At 46.7% G+C, this 20,345-nt stretch overlaps 1 protein-coding gene across 6 annotated transcripts in view, besides 1 other annotated feature; it reads left to right on the plus strand.

Moving 5' to 3' along the window:
• AFAP1L1 (actin filament associated protein 1 like 1) overlaps positions 1 to 20,345 on the plus strand; it is a 71,779-nt gene that overhangs the window by 12,578 nt on the left and 38,856 nt on the right. For 4 of the 6 annotated variants that reach the window (NM_152406.4, NM_001146337.3, NM_001323062.2 and 1 more), the window contains exons 2-5: positions 15,073 to 15,201; positions 15,835 to 15,918; positions 16,697 to 16,794; positions 17,982 to 18,090. In NM_152406.4, the coding sequence (NP_689619.1) occupies positions 15,073 to 15,201; positions 15,835 to 15,918; positions 16,697 to 16,794; positions 17,982 to 18,090 (420 nt within the window). Of the gene's footprint in view, positions 1 to 14,337; positions 14,466 to 15,072; positions 15,202 to 15,834; positions 15,919 to 16,696; positions 16,795 to 17,981; positions 18,091 to 19,733; positions 19,885 to 20,345 lie in introns of those variants that run through there. The other 2 variants (XM_047416723.1, XM_011537558.3) reach the window with 2 other exon arrangements.
• Positions 4,740 to 5,241: an enhancer, noted in NCBI's record as "H3K27ac hESC enhancer chr5:148668739-148669240 (GRCh37/hg19 assembly coordinates)". NCBI's record gives its function as "activates a minimal SCP1, AML or CMV promoter by ChIP-STARR-seq in primed H9 embryonic stem cells {active_cell/tissue: H9 hESC(primed)}" and the evidence as "EXISTENCE:reporter gene assay evidence [ECO:0000049][PMID:30033119]".

Raw genomic sequence — 20,345 nt, forward strand, 5'->3', positions numbered from 1 at the left:
ATTCATATAGTGAAAGCACTCAGCACATAAGAAGCAGTCAACTTTTTGAAAAAAGAAAGCAAATGCCTAAAACTCAGGTTTAGAAATGACTGCCTTTCTTAATAAGTTAGAAAGTAATCCAAGTTATCTCTGACACTTTCACCCTCGCTCCTTGCCTGCCCATCCTGGGAAGGGATGGGATTACGGAGACGTTGGAGATAAGCCACAGGGAGTGCATGGGGCACGTGAGGATCTTTCATCATCTATGTCACAAAGGAAAACTGGTGTTCTGGGCCCTGGGGAGCAGTGGATGAGTTGTGAGCAGGAAGAGATTATGATGTGTTGCAATTTGGGGAAATTATTAAAGCCAGCAGTGAGCTCACATTCGAATGGAAAGGGAGAGATTGGAAAGAGGTGGCCAGTTAGGAGGTAGGGCAAATATCTCAGGTGAGCAGCAGACTGTAAGACCAACTCACCTTGATGTTTAAAAGCAGAGATACATAAAACTTTAAACTCTCCACTTTGAGTTAGGGTTAATTGTACACAATTGTTAGTCTAATGCAGAAGCAGAGAGATATTTGGGGCATTTCAAAACTCAAAACATCCATTTCCATGACTTTTGATCAACGTTTTCTTGGATCCTCAACCCCAATGATGGAGGCAGGAATCACCCCGGGGTCTCCTAGAGCCTATTCAGGGGTGGATTCCTGTGGGGCAGGTTCATGGGGGCCTGGCCCAGAACCAAATCCAGGTTTAACACTGAAAGGTTTCTGCAGGTGAGAGGGAAGGAAAAGAGGGAAGACTTCCTACCTGGGCAGATAGTCAGAGTGGCCATCTGAGCTCAGCTTCCAGCCTCCCACCTAGAATATCTAATCTAGGCCCTGGGTGATTTCCTTTCATCACTGACAACCGCAGCAACATTAGTAATCATAATGAACCCTTACAAGCATGATTCATATGTACCTGGCATGATGCATACAGTCTTCATACATTGTCTCCCTTTCTTCTTGCCACAACCCTTTGAGGTAAGCACTGTTATTATCTCTGTCTTACATTGAGAAAACAGGCTTGGTGAAATGATGAAACCTGCCTGGGTGAGGGAAGCCAAATCCCAAGTTTGATGTTGGATACATCTCACCTGGGTTCACAATGCCACAGCTACCTACTGTACTGACTCCTCCCTAGCCTTCCTGAGGAGGGACTATCCCACCTGGGCTCCATCCCTCTTGAAAGGGACACCTATCTGCCTCTCTTAGTTCAGATTGCTGGAAAGTTCTTCTATACACCAAACCTAATATTGTGGTCTTGGAACTGTCACTCCTGATCCATGTCTGCTCCCCAAGGCCCCAGCTCCCCAGGTAGCACATCTGCTCCACCCCTTCTCTTCTCCCACTCCCAAAGAGCCCTTCTGTTCTTGGAGACATTTGTCAGAGGCAGGATTCTTGGGGCCTCCCTAGTCTGTGGTCCTTTCTATGAATTCCAGGTTGTCACTTAGCCCCTCCCCAGTGCACCTGCTGTGTACCCATTACTGTGCTGAACACTGGGCAGATACTAAGTCAGGCATCATCTCAGTCCTCATGGATTCACAGTGGACATCGAACAAGTCATCTACTCTGGCGCATAGAACAGGGGAATCTCACCTGTCCAGGAAGGCTGGATCAGCCTCCCGGAGGAAGTGGCATCTAAACCAACTCTCAGAGGATAAGCAAGCACTTTCTGGGGTGTGGGGGAGATTTTAGATAATAATCATATCATCAGCTTGGCATGCATCAGGGACTTCTCTAAGCACTTTATGTAACACCTCACTGGATCCTCACAACAGCCCTGTGAGGAATAAGTATTATTATTATCCAAATTTTGCAGATGTGGAAACAGACACAGAGAAGTCACTTGCCCAATGTCACACAGCTACCAGGAGGTAGCAGTTGGAGAACAGATTATGCAGAGGAAATGCCGCAAACAAACAGCACCAGGGTAGGGTCTCAGATATTGCAAATAGGTCAGAAATAGTAAAAAATAATTTTTAAACTCTATTGAATAGAACAAAGCCAACCACATACTCCTATTAGTGTAGCCTGTGGCATCTGCTGATGATTTTCTGATTCCTTGATCACACTGAGTTTTCTGCAAGCCGATTGTCCACCTAATGCTTTGTTTTTCTGAATGAGGTGCTATTCAGTCTCTTCTGAATTCTAAATGAGTTCCGTTGTTTGATTGGAAGTGGGAGGTAAGAGGATGGCACATTTATATTAATCACAATTTACTGATTTATAAAATTTCAGTATACAGGGTGCTCCTGCTTCTCAACAGCATCATCAGCCTTGAGTCTCACAACAGGCCTGTGGAGGTAGGGAGGGCAGTTATGATCACCCCACTTTGATGTTGAGGAAATTGAGGTCAGAGACACACAGCGACTTGCCCAAGGTCACACAACCAGTAAGTGTGGAGCTGGGGCTTGAGCCCTGAGATTCTGGCTCCAATGCCTGTGTTTTCTCCAGAGCACCAAAACACAGCGCACTGTGGGAGGTGGAAAGTTTCCAACCCTGGCTCCTATGGCCTCTGGCAAGTTTAACCTTGCTAGGCCTCAGTTTCCTGTCAGTAAAACTGGGATAAGAGTTCCCACCATATAGGGTTGCTGCAAAGAGCAAATGAGGTAAAGGCACTGAGTGTTAGGCACAGAGAATATTCCTACAATGGAATAGCATGTAACAGTCAAAATGAATGAACACGATGACAAGCAGCAATATGGATAAATCTTAGCAGCATAATATTAAAGAAAAAGTCACAAAAGAGTACCTATAGCACTGTATATTCTTTTAATAAATTTTTAAACTAAAAATTTAAAATAATATTTTCAGGAGTACATCTGGTTGTACTAAAACTATATAGAGGGGAAAGCAAGGACATGGTGAACACAGCATTCAGGATGATAGTGAGATTGGGCAGGGTAGGCAGGAGGGCGGGATCATAAAGTTAGATGTAAGATACTGTCAAGATCCTGGCTTTTGCTTTGAATGGTAAGTTTGTGTGTGCTTACTCCATTATCAAAAATAACTACATAAATAAATAACTAAATAAAAATATGGCATGCATGGGCCTATAATGAGAGTATCTCATGAAGCAAGGATTAGGATTTTTGTCCACCTGAGGTTCTATTTTTATTTATTTTTATTTATTAATTTATTTGAGATGGAATCTCACACTGTCGCCCAGGCTGGAGTGCAGGGGTGCAATCTTGGCTCATGCAGCCTCCACCTCCTGGGTTCAAGCGATTCTCCTGCCTCAGCCTCCTGAGTAGCTGGGACTACAGACATGAGGGTTTTTTGTTTTTTTGGTGTTTTTTTTTTTTTTTTGTATTTTTAGTACATGTTAGCCAGGCTGGTCTCAAACACCTGACCTCAAGTGATCCGCCCACCTCAGCCTCCCAAAGTGCTGGGATTACAGGCGTGAGCCACCTCACCCGGCCATGAGGTCCTATTTTTTAAAAGAAGTAAAAGTGTAAGGCACAGTACCCATCATATAGGAAGTGTTCAATACATCTTGGCTGTTATTATTAGATAGCTTTATTATTATTGATTATATCATCCACATACCCCTAGTCAGAGGCTTTGCTGTCAGCCCGGGGAGGTTGATGAGATGGGTCCCCAAACTCAGACATCTCAAAAGCAGAAATCCCCAGCCTCACCTAGGCCTCAGGCCAGACATCCGACCTGGTGAATGAACATCAGTTGGGGAATGGTCAGAGGAGCTCACTGCTGGTTCCAGCAAGCTTTGCAGGTAGGAGACACCTATGAAAAGAAGGCCAGAAGGTACGCTAGTGCTGCGATTGAAAGCTTAGGCTCTGGAATGAGGTCTAGGTTTGAATCTTAACCTGCCAACTGTGTGCCTTTAGACAAATGACAGTGCCTCTCTGAGCCTCACTTGGCTCATGTGTAAACGCAGGCAAAAACAGAACCTACCTCACAGGGTCATTATGAGGAGTAAGTGAGGTAATCCATGCAAAATGCTTAGCACAACATCTGGAACATCACTTTAGCACTTGAAAATACTACCTGCTTTTACCATCAGGCATCCCAGATTACTCCCTGGGACTACTCTGCTTCCCCACGCCATTGGTGAAGGAGGCGGTGCAGGACGCTGGATGCGGAAACAGCTGCCATCTTGTGTGAGGAGTGCGCGTGTGTGTCACAGTTTTCCACTTCCTCCTGGACCCATTTCCTTTGTGAGCTCAACAGGGAGGAATCCGCAGACAAAGGAACAATTCTGGGAGAGCCCAGTCCCACAGCCAAAAGCTGTTTCCTCAGAAGCGGGTGGCCTTCCTCTACCCCCTCCTGTGTGGTCTGGAAATGCCTTGGGGAGAAGAAGTTGTGGCTTCCCTGGAGGCCCAGAGCTGAGAAACAAAATGCCCCAAGTGACAGCCCTCCTGGTGGAGGACAAGAACCTGGGCAGAGCTGATGCGAGTAAGGCCATTGAGGATGTGGGGCTTCCCTGAGCCTGTCACCCTAGCCTGACTCCTGGGAAGAGTGGCTCCCAGAAACTCTCCATGACCACCCTGTCTTCCTGAAATAACAGTGCATCAAAGAATGGTACTCTACCATCTCTAACAATAATCCCTACGATTTACCAGCCTTTTCCCAGCCATTCCTCATTTCCCCCTCACACAAACCTGTGCATGGGCTTTCTAAGCCCCTTCTTACAGAAGAGGAAGATGATTCTGAGGGGGTTAAATAACTCATCCGAAATTACGTACGGGCAAATGGGAGGAGTTAGAGCCCAAACCAAGTCCTCCAAGTCCCAAATTCTTCCCACTATTTTTTGCCTTCTCCCTTCTTATGAATGCTTTTGTGTTTCTATCCTGTGGAGTCAAATTTGTACTATTCTCTTAAGCATAAAAGGATATTCAGTTTCCTGCAATCGCTGTAATTAACACACACAAAAGTCTTCCAAGGTGACCTCACTGCCTCTGCCGTCCCTCACACAGGGGCTATATTTAACTCTTGGAAAGTACTAAGACGAAGGCATTGGCTTTGCAGCTGGGTTTTTTTTTTTCTGCGCCTTTGTCATTCTTTTCCAGCCCGCATGTACAGTGGGCTTCCCTATCCAAGCTGGGACAACAGGAAGTGTTTGTCTTAGTGATAAACAATGCGAGTCCAACCAGTGCCGTCTCCTTCTACATTCTGCCCACTGTTTGGCCTTCACTTGGACTCAGAGAAGTGCTTGTAAATTCAGAGGAAGGAAGGGAGATGTCCTGATAGCCCCAGCTGGGTAGATTTGCAACAACTTGGAAGAGTCTGTGGGCAGGGGAAGGAGAGATTTCTCAACCCAGGAAGTGAAGGGCAGTTCTGCCAGCCTCACCTGAGGAGCTGGTGACCGCTCTGCGGAGTAAACCCAGAGCTGGACACAGACAGAAAAAGCATCCTGAAGGAAAACTGGGGGAGGCATAACAACTAGATCCTCCAGTATTCTCATTCTAGCATCCTCAGTTTCCACATGTGTAAGTGGGGGTAATCCACCTTATTGTAAGACTTAATTTATGGGCCGGGTGCGGTGGCTCACGCCTGTAATCCCAGCACTTTGGGAGGCCGAGGCGGGTGGATGACAAGGTCAGGAGATCGAGACCATCCTGGCTAACATGGTGAAACACCTTCTCTACTAAAAATACAAAAAATTAGCCGGGCGTGGTAGCGCACGCCTGTAGTCCAAGCTACTCGGGAGGCTGAGGCAGGAGAATTGCTTGAACCCGGGAGGCAGAGGTTGCAGTGAGCTGAAATGGTGCCACTGCACTCCAGCCTGGGCAACAGAGCCTCTGTCCCCCAAAAATAAGACTTAATTTATATAAATAATACATGTAAATCACTTAAAGCAGAATACGTCTTATAGTAGTAATGGAAGAGTAATGGAGATAGCTAACATTTACTGAGAGCTTACTATGTGCCAGACTCTGTTCGAGGCACATTCACATGTGTCGGGGCCTGTTCCCGCTAGTGAGGTAGATATGCTCACGTTACTGATGGTGTACATGAGGCACAGGTAGTTACGGGAGTGCCCCAGAGGTACACAGTTTGGAAATTGGGGAACAGGAATTAAACTCAGGTGGTTTAGGTTGCTCAATATCTGTTATTATTTCTGAATGTATATGTTAGAATTAAAATCCACCAACTACAAAATGTGCATCACTAAATCAATTGGCAGCCGTATTCATGTGAGGGATATAAGTTGAACAAAATAGAGCATTTGGGAGCCTAGCCAAGTGAAAAATTGGTCTTTTGCTTCCTTTTACATGCTGAGGGTACTTTTTGTTGCCTGATTTTTTTTTTCTTTTTTTCAAGCATCTCTTTACTATACTGAGCCACTATAAGGCCAGACATGGTTTTAAAATCACATTAACTAGCTGTTAGACTTTATCAACTCTTAAAAGAAAATAAAGTTTGCTCCAAGAATTTATTGTTCCATGTATACTTAAACATTTGCCCTATGTTTGGCGCTAGCCAAAGCTGGCAATGTTCGTGCACTCAAGGAACTCAGGCTTAAGTTGGGGAAAGTGACCATCATCAAAAAATACATAAGTAAATACAAAATCTTGCCATGTGAAGTGCCACAGGGAGAGATACTTGATGCTACCATGGCATAAAATGGGGGGAGTAGGTGCAGTGAAGAGAACAAGGAAGGTATCCCTGAGGAAGTCAGGATTGAGTAGAGAGCTAAAGAGGATGTTACTGGCTGGCAGCGGAAGGGAGTTCTGATAGGCAAAAAGAACAGCTCTTCAAAGTCCCTGAGTTGAGAGGTGAGGAACAGAGCGTGAGGACAGCCTGGAAGGAGGTGTCTCTGGAAAAGCCTACAGGGTGCCTCACGCCTGTAATCCCAACACTTTGGGAGGCTGAGGTGGGCAGATCATAAGGTCAACAGACCGACACCATCCTGGCCAACATGGTGAAACCCCATCTCTACTAAAAATACAAAACTTAGTTGGGCATGGTGGCGCACACCTGTAGTCCCAGCTACTCGGAGGCTGAGGCAGGAGAATTACTTGAACCCAGGAGGCGGAGGTTGCAGTGAGCCGAGATCGCACCACTGCACTCCAGCCGGACAACAGAGCGTGACTCCGTCTCAAAAAAAAAAAAAAAAAAAAAAAAAAGAAAGAAAGAAGAGAAAAGCCTGCAGGGTTTGAAAGTCACAGAAAAGGCTGCTCTTCCTTTCCTTCACCCTACCCAAGCACTGAGCTCACATCTGATCAGCATACTGCTTTTCTTTCCAGGGCGACTTGCCTCCCCACTGGTACTGTGGGTCATACCCCACTGATATGTTAATACAGTATGCAGAAAGTTAACTCTAAAATCATGATCAGAAATGTTCAAAGTAAGGCACTGGTTCTTTCTCCAGAACAGGAGCCTTTATGAGATGGAAATTGGGTCATTTTCCTTTGCATAAGAAAGGAAATTTGAGTAAATCAAAAGAAAAATTGTAGGCCCTTCATAAAACCACAGTCTCACAGTGGTCTTTTTCCATTTTTAAATGGTGCTAGTTGCATTTACTCTGACTTTGAAAACAAAGAAGGATAAGTTATCTTTGTGATCTCTGTAAAGAGGCTGGTCAAATAGTGAGGTGGGGAAAAGAGAAGTTGTATATTTTCCTATGGCTTTGCATTTAATGAATTTGTAATTTGCAAGCTGTTTCCAAGCATTTTTGTACGCTCCAGAGTCTGAAAGGTACACAGGAATGAGATCATGAGTCCAAGTGCCCAGCACTGGGCCTAGTTTGATAGGAGCCAATACAGGGTTTATTATTCTTGTGACTTGCTGATATTTAATTACTCACTTGTCTTTTGTTATGAACTCATTATCTTTGCGATCTCTAAATAAATCTGACCTTCTGAGCGCTAGTGTCCTTTCTGGTTGTGATAAATACCTCTTGCTTTTCACTCAGGCTGCATCAGGGATGTGAACCAGGTAGCAAGTGGTAGTACTTTTTATTGGTAGCTTAATTTCTGCTATCTAACATCTTATTTTGATTTCAGTCATGTGGGGAGGAGTGAGGAGAAGATAGAAAAGTGATCTTACTCTTAGTTGGGCACTCACCAGGAACAATAAGCATTTAACAGCCTAATCTTAGATATATTTTAAATAGGTTTCTAAATTTATTTGAAAAACTTTTTTGCAACCCAGAGAATAATTATCCTTCATCTTGGGTTTCTGAGCCTCTGTCTCACTTAAAAGATTGAAAACTTATAAACGATGATTAGTCCATTTCTTCCTGTTGTATCTTTTTCTCATCATTGGAATTCACTGTACCTCCCTAAGACTCAACTAAACCAAGCAAGATAGATGGAATTTATTCGTGGTTCTAAATAAACTGGAGACATAGAGACAGTTCTGTCCTCATGCCCGAGTCTGCCAAGAGCAAAGACAGGAGATGGGGGCAGCTTAGGAATTGGGAACAAAGTTTTTCCTGACCGGGGACAGCAAGGACCCAGGATTCCTGGGTTGCGTTACTACCCCTCTGTCTAGAAGATATTGTCTCCTCACCTTGCTTGGAGGGGGTCCTTGGAATGTGAGCACTCTGAGGGAAGGGGCTTCGCCAGCTCCTTGTGCCACAGCCATCCCAAGCTCAGTGTCAGGGCCAGAGCCATGAATAGTTCACAGGATGAGGCTTGCAGAGTCCCACCATGCCCTCTTGTCCCTGTACCATCCTCCTTTGTGCCTACCACTTCCCCTGAAACTCCATGGGGCGATCACAGATGAGTGAAGAGAGCAGCCATCGAGTGCCTGAGCACCATACACATCAGTTCATTTCATCTTCACCGTGACCTTGTGAAGCAGCTACTGTGATCACCCCCACTGTTTGCAGATGAAGAATCAGAAGCTTAGGAAAGTTTAGAAATTTCCCCCAGAGGCCCACAGCTAGAAAATGACAGAGCTGGGAGGGGAGCCCAAATTCTCCAAGCCTGTGCTTTTAGCCACTCTTCCATGACTTATCTTAAGCATCAAGCTTTGTGTTAGTATTGTGTGAACTTAACACAAAATACTTTTTCCCCCAACTGGTTGTGTGACCATAACTAAGTTAAATAACCTCTTGGACACTCACTTGCTACATGTTTAATATAAGAGGATTAGACTAGGCCATCAAAATATTGTATTCATTGAGTAAATGTTCATTGGACATCTACTGTGTACTGATTGAAACACAGACCCTGTCCTCCTGGAGCCTATTAGAACTATAGCAAATCTGTTCCTAATGCTATCTGATCAATACTGTGGAGTCTCCATAGTTGTGGAAAGTATTAGAAAATAACAACAATGACAAAACAACATGCAATATGGCTATCATTTAGTGAATGTTTGTTCGAAGCACGGTGCCATGCAAAGTGCTTCACAAGCATAACCTTACCTAGTTTTCCAGCCCTATGCGGTTGGGATCCTATTATTCTCATTTTGCCTGTCATAAAACCAGGGCTCAAAATTTCTAATGTGCCCATCATTGCACAGCTCAGAAGTGGCAGTGCAAGAATCCCAATATACATGGGTCCGACCCCAGAGCCCTAGCCACTGCACTATTCTAAGCAAGACTCCATGCTCCAGCTATTTGTAATCTTCAGGGGCTCCTATTCCCACCTTGATTCTCAGTTATTTCAGAAGAGGATAACTAATGATATTTTTTTAAGGAATAGGAGAGGTTTTCCCACATTCCTTATGTCCTCTGTAGCATATTTTTTCTGGTGGAGTATTTTGCAGAGGTTGAACCTTGGACTGCCCCCATCAGAATCACTTGGAGTACTTGTAAAAATGCAAGTTCCTGGATCCAGGACAGGCCTAGCAAATTAGACTTTCTGGATAGGAGGTCTGGGAATGTGCATTTCCAACAATCCCGCTGGAGGAGTCTTTTCTTACTAAAAATCGAAGTTACTGTCCTGTTGGTATCACTTTTCATATGCCTTATACCCATACGACCTCTCCAATTTAAATTCTATAATGTTTTAAATCTCTTTGGTTTGAATTCTCTAAAATTAAAGATGAAGCTGTCATCAGACTTCTGTATTCACTGTGATTGAAAGCTAGCTTCTTAGGGTGAGCTCTGTATTGTTCTGGAAGAGCCCAGCACTGGCTGAAAGGTTTCTTACATCCGTGATGTATATCGGGTTTTCTCTGGGATGAGATCCCTGCTGTTAATTCAGGTATTTGCTTTCAGTGGTCTATTTTTTTTCTATGAGATCTTCACAGCTGAAGTTCTGAAGTTCAAACAGGCCCAGTGGGGAGAGGGCCTTCACGCAGGAATTTCAGCCTCACGGTGAGGGTTTCCACCCACAGGTAAAGGTATCCCCAGATCAGGAGCCCCATGAAGTCATGGCCCAGAGCACTCCACTGGAGGGCTGTGAGAGGAAGCCCAGTATTCACATCTGCCCACCTCCCCCCAGCCCCAGCCTGGCCTCCTAGCCTCTGCTGCACTGAGCTGGGCTGAAGTCTTCTGATGGAGCATTCAGATGTGGGGTCAGACAGGCCAGGGTTCAAAGCCTGACTTTACTGCTTACTGGCTGAGTAACTTCACTTCTCTGAGCCTCCATTTCCTCCTTTGTAGGGCGCTGGAGGATTAGATGAGATAATGTGCATTAACTGCCCAGCACAGGGTAACTGCTCAGCTCCAGCGAAAGACTTGCAGGTTCAGTGCAAGCTGTGCTTTGCCCCATGGTTCCCCTCCCTCTGCCCCTGCTGCCTGCCAGATCCGTTCAGGTCGCAGAAACCCCACCAGGACTGGCAGCCCCTCATTCTCCATCTGCTTCTCTCAGATGCATTCAGTCCCTTTCTTCTCCTTTGGTCTGTTTGAACTTTGGTGATCAAATCTCAGTTAAAGGAAGAGCACTTAGATGTCAAGGTCCCATGTTAAGAATCCCATCAAAGACCAGGAAGGAAACAAAAAAGGTATTACAAAGCTTGGGTGCGAGAGCTCAGGTTTTTAAATGCAGAGCGCTCATGCAGAACCAAACTGTTCTTACTTTAGAAACGACTATAGCAAACCTTAAATTAGAAGCAGTAGAGCATTTAGAAGCCAGAAAGCTGCCACCCATAGGCATTTACTGATAGCAACAAGAAATTGCTGGAACCTCACAGCAAAAAGAAAGAAAGACAGAAGGAAAGAAAGAAACAAAAGAAGGGAGAGAGGGAAAAATAAAACGAAAAAAGAAAAAGAGGGAGGGAGAATGGAGAGAAAGAGGAAGGGAGGGAAGTGGGGAAGGAGGGAAGGAAGGAAGGGAGGGAGGAACAGATTTAAAAATCCCAAAAAGTTTTGCAATCCTTAGTCGTTCATTGGCGGGGGCAGCAGTTTTTAAAGTTTTAAAGTGTAGCTAGGGATGAGGGAGTTGCCTGGGGGCAGTCCCCAAGATGTTTTCAGGGGGTTTGTAAGGTCCAGACAACTTCTGTGTAGTACTAAGACATTATATACCTTTTCACTCCCATTCTCTACAAGCTTACAGTGGAGTTTTCCAGGCACAACCTGTGGTGAAGGGGTAACTTTGAAGGCTAGTGGGATAAGTATCTTTGTGTTCTTGTGTTTTAAAGATTTTTCAGTTTTAATGTTAATGCAATAAATATTGATAGATACAACCCACATAAAACAAAAGCAATTTGGAGTCCTCAACAATTTTTTTTAAGAACGGGTTTTGCTCTGTTACCCAGGCTGAAATGCAGTGGCACAGTCACGACTCACTGCAACCTCCTCCTTCCAGGATCAAGCAATCCTCCCACCCCAGTCTCCTGAGTAGCTGGGACTACAGGCACATGCCACCACTCCCAGCTAATTTTTTGTATACTTTTGTAGATGGGATTTCGCCATGTTGCCCAGTCTGATCTCAAATTCCTGAGCTCAAGTGATTCGCCCACCTCAGCCTCCCAAAATGTTGAGATTACAGGCGTGAGCCAACACGCCTGGCCCAATAATTTTTAAAAGTATAAAAAGACCCTGATACCAAAAAGTTTCAGAATAACCGGTATAGGGATAAACAGCCCAGTGCACCCCTGAGCCATAACATCCTGTGGGAGAGCAGAGAGGTATCATGTGCTTTTGAATGTGAGTCGTGGCTGCAGGGCCACAGGAGGGCTCCCAGGCCACCTGTGGCTGCCTTCTTGCATCTGCCGTTGCCTCCCTTGTGAGTAATTACCTATGAGGGAATACGCATGTTTGTGTGTATGAGACAGAGAGAGAATGCGCGTTGGGACAGTTGGAACAATCTCTTATTCATTTTTTCTAAGCCCTGCCCAGGGGCCAGGCTGACACATAGTTAGTGCTCAGTAAATGTTTTGGAATTGAGTTAACCAACATTTAGTGTATGTATTAGTCTGTTTTCATGCTGCTAATAAAGACTAATAAATAAATACCTGAGACTGGGTAATTTATAAAGGAAAGAGGCTTAATTGACTCACAATTCATCATGGCTGGGGAGGCCTCAGGAAACTTACAATCATGTCAGAAGGGGAAGCAAACACATCCTTCACATGGTGGCAACAAGGAGAGATGCCAAGAAAAAAGGGGAAAAGCCCCTTATAAAACCATCAGGTCTCACTATCACGAGAACAGCAGCACAGGGGTAACCACCTCCATGATTCAGTTACCTCCCACTGGGTCTCTCCCATGATACGTGGGGATTCTGGGAGCAACAATTCAAGGTGAGATTTGGGTGGGGACACAGCCAAGCCATATCAGTGTGTCTGTTGAGGGCGCTAGAGAGGTTTGTTATTCCATTTGAAAAGATTTCCTTGAAAACAGCTAAAGTTTGGCTAAAATGATTTTAAATAATTACCTGCTTTAAAGAGGGAAACATATTCATCCAGAACCTGTGTTTATTTGATATGGCAGGGCCCAGGCCCTGGAGGCAGCAGGACCTCCAGGCGCCTTTCGCCTGGGCTCTGGAGGCAAGCAGTGACCCCCCAGAGCTGTGCCACTCTGATCCCTAGGGATCACACAGACTTAGAATCAGTCTGGCTCTACCTCTCAAGCTGTGCCACTATCCCATAGCTGCCACAGCCTCAGCGTCATCTTCTGAAAAAAAAGGCATCCCAATAGGACTGCTCACAGATGTGCCCTGGGGATTGGATGGAAACACGCACAGAAAGCCCCTCCCTCAGTGTCTAGCAGCTGAGAGTGCACATGAGATAGGAGCTGTCCACATCAACCTTCAGCTCATTGTCAACGAGTTTGGGGTGATGATGGATTTTGCCACAGAGAGACTGCAGCATCATGTTTTCCTAACAAGGGTCACTATCTATACATAAGATTTATATTTAAAAGAAGGTCCTAGTGTGGTCATCTGTTCATTCCTGTCTTGTCAGACACATGAAGAGCACCCACACTGAGCAGGCCCCAGACCAGATGATAAGTAAGCAGAGAGTCACAGTCCAGTCCACGCCTGCTAGAGCCTCACAGCCTGCCAAGGGAGGCAGACACTCAGGGATCAGCACAGATCAGTGTAGTAAATTCTTCAGTGACAGCAAGAATAGCTGACTTGTGGTGAGCATTCACTCTGTGCTGGGCAAGGCCCTTTGCATGTCTGGTGTCATTAATTCTCACAGCCACCCTATGAGGCAGGTGCTGTTATTATCCTCCGCCTTTACAGGAGGAAACTGAGGAACCCATAGGGTAAGTGATTGGCTAGTGAATGATAGGGCCTGAATTTGAACCCAGGTGATCTGGCTCCAGGGCCTGTTCTCTTCTGCAAGGTGCTGTATCTCCTCCTACACCTCCAGGCCCTGCAGCTCCGGGTCAGTGTCTCCTGTTTCCTCAGGAGGGCCCAGGGTGGGGAACAGCACATGGAGTTAGGAGTCATGGCTGGAGCTGAAGTCCTGGCTTTTCTTCTTGCCTCTGTGTAACTTCAAGCAAGTTATTTATCTTCTCTGAGCCTTAGTGTCTTCATCTAAAAGGTAGGGGTGATCATGGGACCTACTTCAAAACTTGCTGGGAGGAACAAAGAAAATACTGTGAGTCAATATATCTCTGTGGTTAAAAGAAGAGAATGAAGAAAGCAGCTTCACTCTAGGCTCTGCTAGCTGTGTGATCCTGGAGAAGGTATTTAACCTCCTGGAGCTTTAGTTTCATCCTCCATGTAATGAAGATAATAAAATACTTGATATACGATTTAAATGAGACAATAAAATGTAAAAGGGCTGAATATAACTGATAATGATTGTTCAGTACAGGTTAGCTTCTGTTATCATGCCTAAATGCTTAGTGGGTTGCAAAGCAGGGCAATACTACTGTGATGAAGCTGGTCTTTGGCTCTAAGGCAAACCAAGTCCCAAGTTACTTTTCAGGACAGGGAGACATCAGTGACATCATGGTCTTGGCACACTGAAGTCCTTAAAGGACTCTGTGCTCTAGGATCTTGCAACTCAGATGGTCCAGGACCACCAGCATCAGCTGCAGCTTGGTGCGGATCAGAAATGCAGAATCTCGGATCCCACCGCACACCTCCTGAATCAGAATTTGCATTTTGACAAGATCCCCAGGTAATTCTTACACACACTCAAGTTTGAGAAGCATTGGTGTCACGTGGAAAGAAAGAATGGCACTGATAACATGGAGTGAGGAGGGTTAATGTTTAGTTTGGCTGTGGCCAAGGCACCGGAAACAGAAGGTTCCAGAGATTGAAGCACATGAACTGATGGGACAGGAAGGCTCTCTTTCCTGCCTGTGTCCTGGATGGCCAGGGGCTCCAGCCTGAGACCTGTGCTGAGCTTCGAGCTGCAGTGAGAAAGGACCCTGGTCAAGCAAAGCAGAGGGCAATCTGGGACAGAGGGAGGCCTGAGAACCTCTGCTCGGGGCTGCCTGAGCTCAGGGTTGCCAGATGAGCCCAGGGAGGTCCAGTCCTTGGGCCAAGGCCATCTGAGGTAGAGTGGGGAGACCCGGAGAAACACCACAGGACTAACTGAGCAGGACCCTCTCACGGGAGCTGCGTGGCAGGTCTGGGACAGCTGAGAGCCCCCAGGTCCGCTTGCACACCCGGACCTGCCCTCTGACCCCTTCCGCCCAACTCTAGGTGGTGGGGGGCCGAACTCCCGGGCACAGAGCTGTGACTGTGCAGCTGTGACTGTGCCCGTCTGCCTTCCTCCGCAGTGCTGGAGCAGCTGCTCCCAGAGCTCACCGGGCTGCTCAGCCTCCTGGACCACGAGTACCTCAGCGATACCACCCTGGAAAAGAAGATGGCCGTGGCCTCCATCCTGCAGAGCCTGCAGCCCCTTCCAGGTTAGCCGCCAGCAGCCTGCCTGGAGGAGCTCCACTTATGTAGGACAACAAAACCTCCCTTCACTGACTCAAGAACATGCAGGAACCCTCCGCCCCACCCCCACCCCCAGGGGCTGCCGCAGGAGGAAGGCTAAGCCCTGGACACAGCGTCCAATGCATTCCATGCGAGCTCTTGCCCAATGTCCTTGTCCACTGGGGCCCCACCTCCCCACCGACAGCCCTGGCTGTGCTCTTTGTACTCCTTCACCCCTGCCCTCCACACACACACAGAACACACACACTCACATAGAACACACACACCCACATACCCCCCACACTGACCTACAACACACACAGCCCCTCACACACCCACCACACCTGACACATGACATGCACACACCCTAGCATACGCCTGACAGCCCCAGTAATCTGTTTCCATACTGGGCTTCTGGACATCCTTTTACTTGGAGAAAGAGATCCTCAATAACAGTGTAAAAACTAAAACAAAGTTTGAAAACCAGTGAAATAATTTAGGACTTGAATGCGCTTTGCAAAGTGAGCACTGTGTCCCATGTGGGCTAGAAGTATGAGTGGGACGGGGGAGACCTGGTCCCTCCTCCTTCACAGCTGGCATGTCCCCCTTCTTCCTCACAGCAAAGGAGGTCTCCTACCTGTATGTGAACACAGCAGACCTCCACTCGGGGCCCAGCTTCGTGGAATCCCTCTTTGAAGAATTTGGTAAGTGACCCTCTCCCAACCTCAGCTACGGAGCCATCCCTCTTTCCCTGTGTATGCAGAAGGGTCCCCCGACTGGGCTGGGCTTGGCTCTAACATCGCATCATTAAGTCGCTTTGGGCCAGTCCTTGGCCCCTCTGGGTTCTGCCAGCTCTGAAAGTCTAATCAAAGTCTGCATAGGAATAGGAATTCAGCTCAGAGACTTGAGGAATGGTAGGGATGACCATGCAGTCCAAAGAAGGCATGGCACATTAGGGTGTTTCCTCACCGGCCACTCCCAGGTGATTGCCACTTGAGACACTGGGCTGAGCGATGCAGTGGCTCAGCAGAAATGATAGCTTGCATGGCTGCCACGGGCATGGGAGCAGCTGAGCTGGCTGCATGCAGAGTACCTGCCGTCCTAGCCCTATCCTGAGGGAAGACAGCTCTGTTCAACACAGAAAGAAAGCTACAGGCCTTGGTGAGAGAGTTTTGGGGACTCATAGACTTAGGGAGCACACTGTGCCTTTATAGCATAACCCTCAAAGATTTCCAAAGTACCAAAACAAGTATGATTTTATTTGATCCTCTCTACAATCCTGGAAAACAGACAAGGCAGGCATCATTGCCACCACGTACAGATGAGTTTCAGAGTCAAAAGTCATTTGTTTAGGGTTACTAACGGAGGGGTGGTGGAGCCCGACCTCACACTCAGGCCTCCTGACCCCAAATCCAGCCCTCTTCCCCTGGTCTGTGCTGCTCATCCTTGGCTTTCTTTGCCCAATGGCCTGTCCCTCTGTAGACTGTGACCTGAGTGACCTTCGGGACATGCCAGAGGATGATGGGGAGCCCAGCAAAGGAGCCAGCCCTGAGCTAGCCAAGAGCCCACGCCTGAGAAACGTGAGTCATGGCCTGGGTTCCCACACCTCAGGGCCTCTGTCCCTCTGGAGGAGGCAAGGGAAGCTCTCCCCTTCCCACTGGGTGCTCTCCTGGCGGTTCTGGACCCTGTTGTCTCTCTCGGGTTGTGGGTGAGGGCACAGGCAGCACCATGTGAACATTTCAATGGCCCGTGATGTGCTCGCTGTGTGTTTTTTTTCTTATTTATTTTTATTTTTATTCTTTATTTTGCCACCTTCCTGACTGGGAAGTCACAGTGTTTGTGCTGAGCAGGGAGAATGTGGTGAACTTACCTGTGCCCTCAGGCCCGAAGGACGTCACCAGCCCAACTTCCGATTGCATAACATAAGCCAGGCTATGGAAAAAGCTCTGGACCAGGAGTTGGGTGACCTCTGCCCACCCCCATGACTCTGCTGTGTAGCCTTAGGCGAGTCGCTTCTCTTCTCTGAGCCTGAGTTTGTCACCTACAGAATGAAAGACTGGACCAGATATAGGATGCGCAACCTTGGGGCCATGGAATTAGAGCAAGGGGCTCATAATCACAACAAGCTTTGTCTGTCAACTGCATAATTCATTGTCATCATCACCAGCAACAGTACCAGTCACTAGCAACTTACTATGTCCTTTACATGCTGACAGCAACTGAATGAGGCTGGCACAATTGTTATCCCCATTTTACAGATGAGGAAACTGAGGCTCAGAGAGAATGAGTGATATGACCCATGTCCCACAACTCACACGTGGCAGAACTTAGCTGTAAAGCCACGGTTCCCCTGGCCCAGTGGCTCAGCACTCAGCTGCGGGTGGTCCTGCCTCACTAAAGAACAGGCCTCACGCTTCCTTGTCCTACTGCACCTCGTGTGTGTGTAGACGTGGTTACAGAGTAGTGCAGAACTCACAGTAGCTTCTGGTAATTCTGCATGTGCTCAGTAAAAAGTATGACTACTACTGTTTGGCAGTCCACAAAACTTGCAGACATTCCAGGGGAACCCTGATGATTAAAAAAAATTGGGGTAAGAATCACTGGATAAATATGCCCTCGAGTTTTACCAGCTCTGTGGCTCTATAAAAGGTATGGCTTCACATTCACACTGCCTCCTGCCTTCTGCGAGCTCCTGCCTCCCTCTCCCTCAGCCTCTCTCTCCCTACCCTGCTCCGCTCCCCTAGCCCTCTTTTTTGTCCCCTTGCAGGCGGCCGACCTGCCTCCACCGCTCCCCAACAAGCCTCCCCCTGAGGACTACTATGAAGAGGCCCTTCCTCTGGGACCCGGCAAGTCGCCTGAGTACATCAGCTCCCACAGTAAGTTCTGGTCCTCTTGGTGGGGCTGGGGACTTCCTGTCCCTGAGAAGCCAAATTTAAGTTCCTCTGTGTCCTGTGGGAGCTGGAACTGCAAGCCTGTCACCCTCCCAACCATGTCACCATTGGCTTAGGAGAAGCTACCCTGGGCACCTGGCCTCTTCGGTGACAGCCTGGGTGGACCAATATGTGGGGCCCCAGGGGCTGGGGGCTTAGGTTCTAGTCCCAGATCTGTGTGGCCTTGGAAAATCCCCTTGCCCTCTGGATCTCTGTGCTTCCACCCTTAAAACAAGAAAGAGGAAGCAGACGCACCATGTCAGTGTGCTAGGAGGCAGCTACACAGATGACCACCACTATACTGTTCCCCCTACTAAAACTGCTAACCCAAGTGCTCCTCTTGAGTGGGTGGTGAAATTGTTTCAGTAGAATGACCTCCTATAGGTGGGTTAGGTTATCGAGTCAATGCGTAAAATAAAAAGCACGTGGTCTAAACCAGAGGCTGTCAGAGTAGAGTGGGGGTACCCAGGGGTTCATAACATGATGTAGGCAGAAATATCAGAAGCTTTACTTCTATTTAATTCAACATATCTTTTAATAAATTCCATGTGAATGTTTTGTAGCATTTATAATCTGATAATAGCATATTTGTAAAAAAAAGTTTATATATACATATATAACATAGAAAAATAAACATAAATATATGTATATATTTTTACTAGTAGGTGGGTGCAGTAAAATAATTTAGTGGGCACTGGTACAAGTTACCATTGAAAATCCCTTAAACTGGCCATAAAGGAGAGTCTTTGGTCTTTTCATCGGCTTCCTCCAGCATTGCAACACATGGACGTTCTTTTGAATGAAGAGATCAGATGAAGTCACTTGTTTGGGTAAAAGGACTTAACGTTACATATAAGAAACTACATCCTAATGTTTGGATGGCTCAGCATGAGTAGTTGAATTTGTATAAGATAATGTTTGTGTGATGCTGCTCTGTCATTCAGTAGCACAGTGGAATGCTCTCCAACCACCAAAAAATAATCAAATTTCTAAAATGAATTCTGATCAGCAAAGACAGATCGGTTTTATTATGTCATTGAAAATGTCAAACACAAAATACTGCATACAACAATTCCATTTGTTTTTTTAAATAGGGTGTACACAAACACACACACACACATGCATCCGTTTTAACAATTTTTCAAGGATATGCAAGGAACTATTAACAGGATTTTCCTGCGGGAAATTAATAGAAATATGGGTGAAGGGAACGTATTTTTTTCATTCATACTCTTTTCTATTACTGTTTGTGCTTTTTACCATGGGTGAATTTTTTTACTGTGGTAAAATACACGTAAGATTAACCATTTCCACCATTTCAAGCTGTCCAGCAAGTGGCATTTAGTACATTCAGTACATTCACAGTATTTGCAGCCATCACAACTATCTAGTCCCCAAACATTGTCATCACCCCAGAAGGAAGCCCATACCACTAAGCAGTCACTCCCCATTCCCCACCCCAGCCCCTGCTAACCACCAATTCACTTTCTGTCCATATGGATTTGCCTATTCTGGACATTTCACATAAATGGAGTCATATAATTTGTGGCCTTTTGTGTCTGGCTTCTTTCACTTAGCATGTTTTCTAGGTTCATCCATGTCGTAGCATGCCTCAGAACTTCTTTCCTTTCTATGGCTGAACACTATCCCACCATACGGATAGACCACATTGTGCTTATCCATTCCTCAGCTGATGGACCTTGGGCTGATTGCACCTTTTGGCTATGGTGCTTGGATCAGGTAATCCACAGCCCTCTTCAGCCTTGATAGTCTCAGGTTCTGTGTTATCGCAAACAGCTGTGGGGGTGTGAAACAGGCAACTTTATTTTATACACTCAAGGACAGGGAACAAAGTGCTGCTGGGCCTTGAATCCCAGGTCAAGCCTATTGGCTATATGGGGTTCCTTCACCTCCCCAGGGAACTCACTTCCCTCTCAGACAGGGCAGAGAAGACACCTCCCAGAAGCAGCTGGAATCCTGGGGCAGAAGGAAAGGGAGGGCTTCAGGAAGGGCCAGGAACCTTGTGCAGGGAGAGCACGCCAAGCCCATCAGGGAGTATCCTTCCTCTCGCTCACAGCGTCCAGCCCTGCCAGGTGTCTGAGTACTGTGTCCCCACGCCCCCTCACCCTTCCCTACTTCACACCTGACCCCCCCGTTCACCTCCCAGGAGATGTCCAGCGTCTGAGGCCTCAGGGTGCCTG

This window comes from Homo sapiens, chromosome 5 (assembly GCF_000001405.40).
Source record: "Homo sapiens chromosome 5, GRCh38.p14 Primary Assembly".
NCBI lineage: Eukaryota > Metazoa > Chordata > Mammalia > Primates > Hominidae > Homo > Homo sapiens.